Raw genomic sequence first — 7353 nt, 5'->3', positions numbered from 1 at the left:
CTGTTGCTTTAACTTAAAATAAATAAATAATAAATAAATAAATAAATAAGCTTCTTTCTCCTTGCTGCCCTAGTGGAGGGGCTAGCTGGACAGCACGTTAAAGCTCTATGGCCCAGGATGATTCCAATGAAGGCTCTTCACAGGAACATGGAGAGAGGCCATGCTCTGGCCCTGCAGACATTAAGCTGTGGACAATGCTGTTTAAAGGTGACAGGGATGGCCGGGCACAGTGGCAAACCCCTGTAATCCCAGCACTTTGGGAGGCCGAGGTGGGTGGATCACCTAAGGTCAGGAGTTCGAGGTCAGCCTGGACAACATGGTGAAACCCCATCTGTACTAAAAATACAAAAATTACCCAGGCATGGTGGTGGGGGCTGTAATCCCAGCTACTCAGGAGGCTGAAGCAGGAGAATCACTTGAACCCGGGAGGCAGAGGTTGCAGTGAGCCAAGGTCACGCCATTGCACTCCAGCCTGGGCAAAAAGAGTGAAACTCCATCTCAAAAAAAAAAAGGTGACAGGGACAAGTCCTGAGCTAGAGGAAGTGGCAAGTTGATTCATGTGCATTTAGTACAGAAACGGTGCTCAGCGTCACTTCTCCCCAGGACTCAGGGCCTGGCGCTCCTCCTTCTTGCCTCCCCTAAGTGTGCTTCAAGGCTCAGTTAGTGAACATTAGTGAGCCTCACTCTGAGAAGTTAGTGAGCTTCACTCTGAGAAGAGGCACTGATGGTGGGGTGGAATGGAGCCTTCTGCTCTCCTGTTGAGGGAGCAGCATCTGGAGAGGATGGCTGGTGGCTTGAAGCCCAGTGCTGCTGCTGGGTCTTGAGTGCTAGCCTGTGGGTGACCCGGGGAAATTCTCCCCTGACTCTGGGCTTGTTTCCTGCCACCTCCCACAAGAACACAAACACACCACGCTGTTGCTCACCACCAGGCCCGTCCAGCAAACTTTGGGGCCTGTGAAAACAGGGGGAGAGTCCTCCCTGACACCTCCTCAGAAGCCTGCTCTGGGGCATGGTCATTGTCCTCCTTGTCCCCATTCCTTACCTTCCTCAGCACCACAGGGACTCAGGGGCAGTTGCCTTTTGAAGCCACATCCTGAAGGCAGCCCTGAACACCCATCATCCCATGGTCAGTTTCTCTCACAGGGGACAGGGTCTAGGCAGATGCATATAGAAGACCCATGGGCTAGAGCCAGGCGAGGTGGGTTCAAGGATGGGAAGAACCAGAGGGGTTAAAACTAGAGAGATTGAATCCTGACATGAAGTCTCAGGAAGAGTTCAGAGCAAAAGACAGAAGCCCTGCCAAGAGGGTTAGAAACTGTGAGATTTCCACTTGAAACGAGGAACTGGAAGCAGAAAGTGAGGTCGGATTGAGCACAGAAGGTCCAGCCAATGGGCAGGGAAGCAGGGATGCTTCATTGTCTCTGCTAAGGGGCTGGAGAGGGTCGAGCTGGTTAAAGGCATGAATGTGGAGGGACCTCAACCACTGAGGCTGCATTTCTCTTACTGCCTTGAGCTCCTCCTTCAAACCCAGCCCTAGTCACACATGCTGGCTTGGTGGTTGTCACTGAGCTCCAGAAACCTCCCACCCAGGTCCTCCCGTCATGGCAGTGGTGGCCAACAGGGAATAGCGTCCCTATTGGCCAACCTGCCAATAGAGACTGGCAGACTCCCCAACCTGCCCCCAAGAGTTCAGGACCCTGTTTGACAGCACTTCCAGCCTTCTATGCAGACTGAGGAGGAAGCTGATCTGAGATTCAGTGCTCACTCCAGAAGCCCCAAGGGCACTAGTGCTGTCTGACATTCTTCTCTAGACCCCTTGACCAATGAGGCCAGGTACCTCAGCACAGCCTCATCCTCCTGCCCCTGGGGACATTTGCTGGAATCCTCTGCTGCTTTGATTCTGCCAGGCCCTGCCTGCAGGGGGTTCATACAACCTGGGCCCCTGGGTACCTACGCACAGCCCTCAGGGGAGGACCCTCTGCAGGGCCCGTGAATGGGAGCCTCTCCTGTAGGTTATCTCTCCCGGCCTCCTGTCCTGTTCTGGTTTCTGGGACACAAATTCAAACCCCTGCCCACACTCATCACTACTTCCTTCCCTGCCCATCTTTTTAATATTATCATGCCATAAAATATACATAATATAAAATTTACCATCTTAGCCATTTTTAAGGACATAGTTCCATGGTATTAAGCACGTTCATGTTGTCGTGCAGCCATCACCACCACTCAGCTGCAGGACTTTTTCACTGTCCCAAACTGAAACCCCGAACCCATTAACACTAACGCCCCATCCCTCCCTCCCTCTAGTCGCTGGTAACCATCATGTCACTTGCTGTCTATGAATTTCACAATTGTAGGTGCTTCATGTGAGTGGAATCACGGACAATTTGTCTTTTTGTGCCTGGCTGATTTCACTGAGCATAGTGTTCTCAAGGGTCATCCGTGTGGCAGCATGTGGCAGAATTCCCTTCCTCTTTAAGGCTGAATCATACTCCATTGTCTGGATAGACCACATTTTGTTTATTCATTCATCCTTCAATGGACATATGGGTTGCTTCCATCTTTAGGCTATTGTGAGTAATGCTGCCAGGCACATAGGTGTACCAATATCTGTTTGAGCCCCTGCTTTCAATTCTTTGGTTGTATACCCAGAGGTGGGATTGCTGGATCATATGATAATTCTATGTTTATTTTTTTCGAAACCTCAATACTGTTTTCCACAGTGGTTGCACCGTCTTACATTCCCACTGACTGTGCATGAGGGTTCCAGTTCCTCCATGTCTTCAATACCTGTTATTTTCTGTTTATTTTTTAGCTATGGCCATTCTAATGGGTGTGAGGTGGTATCTCATTGTAGTTTTGATTTGCATTTTCTTAATGATTATCGAGGTTAAGTCCCTTTTCATGTGCTTAATGGCTATCTGTCTCCTTTGGAGAATGTCTGCTGAAGTCCTCTCTCTGTTTTTTCATTGGGACGTTTGTGTTTTCATTGTTGACTTTTTGGAGTTGCTGCCTATTTTAAAGCTCTTTGTGGTAGGCCTCCTCATGAATAAGCCCTAACAACCCCCAGCCACTGACCTTTGAGAGTCCTTTTGGAGTCTGACCTCTGCAGCCACGTCTTCTTAATCGTGGTCATCTCAACTGCTCTTGTTGCAGCCTTCTCCAGGTCTCTCCTCTTCCTTTGCAGCAGGAGTAAGAAGCGCATGGTGTTTTCCAGTCTGGGCTCCCAGTGGTTCCCTTTGTGCAGGACAAGCGATGTGCTATTCCTGGGACCTCCCCTCCTGCTGGGGTTCCAGCAGCATCCTGGGTCAATGACCTCTGCAAACCTTCCACAGAATTCCTCTAACGCCTCTTCCTGGGTCAGAGCAGAGAGCTCAGTGCCAAACATTTCATAATTACCACTTCAAAGATTACGCCTCACACGTGCTTCAGGGATGTTCCAGGGGCAGAGAAAGGAAGCGTGCACTGGAGGTGTTATCTCGCTTCATTACCAACGTCATAAAGATTGAGTACTTACCTGCCAGGTCGCATAGTGTTCAGTGCTGGAGCGCATGTGAATGTCTACAGTGCACTGCCCATCGGGCCAAACCTTAGTTCCCAAGGCCTTCCTTGAGTGACTTCAGCTCATTTCTGGAATGTTTCAATGACGCCACTTTCCAGTTCCAGGGAGACTTTCTAGAGAGTCAAAGCAACAAAAGGCAGAGAAAGCAAGAGAGAAAGTAGAAGGAGGGGAGGAAGAAATGGAAGAGCAACAGACTCCTTTTTCACTCTCAGACTCTCTCCTCTCTCCCACTCAGAGCCCCACACTTGCTTGCTTAGAAGTTGCCTGCTCGGCTGCCCTGGGACTTGCTTTTCACTTGGATCTGAATTCAGCGACTCCAAGCTCCACCTGGGCAGAGGGAAGCCTGGGAGAGCCCAAATGCTTAGGGCCTGACTTCCAAGGAAGATGATTTCCCCCAACACTGGGGCATCTGATGCATTGGTAGGCTAGCTCCTCCTCTGAGAGCAACTGCCTCTCAGGGGAAGACATCTGTCCTTCAGATCCAGCCTGGGGATGGGGAGGAGGGAAGGTGAAAGGAGGGGAGGGGTAGGAGAGAGCAGGGAGGGCAAGGACAGAACACAGGTGGGAGGAACAAGGTGGAGGAGAGTAGGGAGGCACTTGGCACCATTTGGAGAGCAGCTACAGTGCCTCGCACACAAGACGCATCTAAAGACGGAAAGGCCGGCCCCAACAAATCCTGTGAAATGGGGGCGTTTCTTCTCGGATTGCTGCCCACCCTTACCCCCATGTCATCTGTGGAAAATAAGGCTCAACATGTCACCTTTTGGACTCTACAAGTTTCTCAGAAGTGCCTGAGCCACCAGGTCATCAAGCAGGGGATGTCGCATGGGGGGCCTGACCCTCCAGCCCACTATCCAAGGAGAGCTACTCAGTTTATATCTGTTCGATGTGTATCAAAAAGACATTCTGGGGCTGGGCTCATGCCTGTAATGCCAGCACTTTGGGAGGCCAAGATGGGTGGATCACAAGGTCAGGAGTTCGAGACCAGCCTGGCCAACATGGTGAAACCCTGTCTCTACTAAAGATACAAAATATTAGCCGGGAGTGGTGGCAGGCGCCTGTAATCCCAGCTACTCAGGAGGCTGAGGCAGGAGAATTACTTGAACCCGGGAGGCGGAGGTTGCAGTGAGCTGAGATTGCGCCATTGCACTCCAGCCTGGGCCACAGGGCGAGACTTGGCCTCAAAAAAATAAATAACCACTGCTTCAACATAAACACATAGATGACTGGCCTGAACTCCACCCCCACCCCCCACCAAGGACCCCTCCACCTCAGACATCTCCTGGTCTTCACCCTGCCCCAGGCAGAGAGTGACAGATGTCCACTCTGTTAGCCACAAGGAACTGGCCAGGTCAAGCTGGTGCAGAGGGAAGGGAGTTGGATCAAGTCCATGTTCCTAACAGCAAGAACTATTGCCCCTGGGAGCTGGGAGAAGTTGGAATTGATTGGAATGCCCAAGGTGGCCTGGCTGGGCCCAGGGATGCTGAAATGCATTAAAAGGAGACCTTCTGGGGCCTGTTGTCAGTCAAAGGGAGTGAAAAAGGGCAGATGTTAACTTCATATAGAACTTTCTAGAAAAATGAAATCGATTTTTCTAGAAACGAAAATAGAAATGTTTCATAGGCCAGGTGCAGTGGCTCACGCCTGAAATCTCAGCACTCTGGGAGGCCGAGGCAGGAGGATCACTTGAGCCCAGGAGTTTGAGACCAGCCTAGGCAACATAGGGAGACCCCATTTCTACAAGAAAAGTTAAAAAAATTAGCTGGGCGTCTGTAATCCCAGCACTTTGGGAGGCTGAGGCGGGAGGATCACAAGGTCAGGAGTTCAAGACCAGCCTGGCCAGCATGGTGAAACTCCATATCTACTAAAAATACAAAAAATAAAATAAAATTAACTGGGCAGGGTGGCACAAGCCTGTAATCCTAGCTACTCAGGAGGCTGAGCCAGGAGAATCGCTTGAACCTGGGAGGTGGGGGTTGCAGTCAGCTGAGATTGCACCACTGCACTCCAGCCTGGGCGACAAAGCAAGACTCCATCTCAGAAAAAAAAAAGAAAAATTAGCTGTGCGTGATGGCATGTGCCTGTAGTTCCAGCTACTTGAGAGGCTGAGTCAGGAGAATTACTTGATCACTTGGGCCCTTGGGTTCAGGGCTGCAGTGAGCCATGATCACACCACTGCACTCCAACTTGGGTAACAGAGTGAGTCTCTCTCTCTCTCTCTCTCTCTCTTTCTCTCTCTCTCTCTCTATATATATACACACACACACACATATATATACATATATACACACATATATATATACACATATACACACACATATATATAAATTTTTAAAAAGAAATGTTTTATAAAACATAACAAATACTTGTTTATTTAACCATTTTCTTACTGCTCTCAAAGTCTAAATGTCCCTTGGTAGAGAAGCTGAGGAGAAATCTGCAGAAACTCAGGAATCTGGTGTCAGCCTCTGAATTGGTGATTCTCAACACCGGCTGCACTTCAGGACCTCCCAATGGGTTGGTTAACACTTTGTTCAAGCCCCACCCTCGTTGAGTCTGGTTTAAGTGGCCTGGGTGGGGGTGGGCACAGGGATTTATTTGTTAAATGCTCACCAGGTGGTTACAATGGGCAGCCCAGGTTGACAGCCATCAAGGTAAAGTAAAAGTTGCGTAACTTCCAGCAGCCACACCCCTTATTTATGAAACGAGTTAAAACCTTTTCCACACAAAAACCTGCACGCGGATGTTTAGAGCCACTTTATTCATATTTGCTAAAACTTGGAAACAATCAAGATATCCTTCAGTAGGTGAGGGGATAAACTGGGGTACATCCAGACAATGGCATATTACTTAGCACCAAAGAGAATTGAGCTGCAAAGCCGTGAAAAGGCATGGGGGAACCTTAAATGCATATTACTGAGTGAAAGAAGCCAATCTGAAAAGGCTGCATACTGTATGATTCCAACTGTATGACATTCTGGAAAAGGTGAAACTATGAAGAGGGTAACAAGATCAGTGGTTGCCAAGGGGGGAGTGGGAGGAAGGGATGAATTGGTAGGGTACAGAGGATTTGTAGGGCAGTGACACTACTCTGATATTATAATGATGGATACATGTCATAATGCATTTGTCAAAACCCATAAAATGCCCAACACAGAGAGTGAACCCTAAGTTAAACTATGGACTCTGGGTGATAGAGATGTGTCAATGTTGGTTCATTAATTGAAACAAACATGCCAATCTGGTGGGGGATGTTGATAATGAGGGAAGCTGTGTGTGTGTAGGGGCGAAAGTACCTGGGATATCTATGTACTCTGCTCAATTTTTCTGTGAACCTAGAACTGCTCAGAAAAGGAAGTCTGTTTTTAAAAGAAAAAAGCTATGGCTCTCCTCTCCTCCCCATTCGACAAACAGCCCCATCTGCTCATGCAGTGTCAGCTTCATCCAGGATACAATGGTGAAAGTTTGAGTCAATGGATTTGGCCATATTTGATACCTGGTCACCAGGGCAGATTTTAACTCTGGCAAAATGGATATTGTCATCATCAATGATCTCTTCATTGGCCTCAACTTCATGGTCTACATGTTCCAGTATATTTCATGGCAAGTCCAATGGCACAGTCAAGGAAAGAGAACAGGAAGCTTGTAATCAATGGGAAGCCCATCTCCATCCTCCAGGAGCAAGATCTCGCCAACATCACATGAGGCAACTCTGGTGCTGAATATGGTGCAGAGCCCACTGGCATCTTCAGCACCATGGAGAAGACTGGGGCTCACCTGAAGTAGCCAAA

Source organism: Homo sapiens, chromosome 6 (genome assembly GCF_000001405.40).
Source record: "Homo sapiens chromosome 6, GRCh38.p14 Primary Assembly".
NCBI classification, from domain to species: domain Eukaryota; kingdom Metazoa; phylum Chordata; class Mammalia; order Primates; family Hominidae; genus Homo; species Homo sapiens.
The sequence above is the reverse complement of the archived record's forward strand: the minus strand, read 5'-3'. Positions refer to the sequence as shown.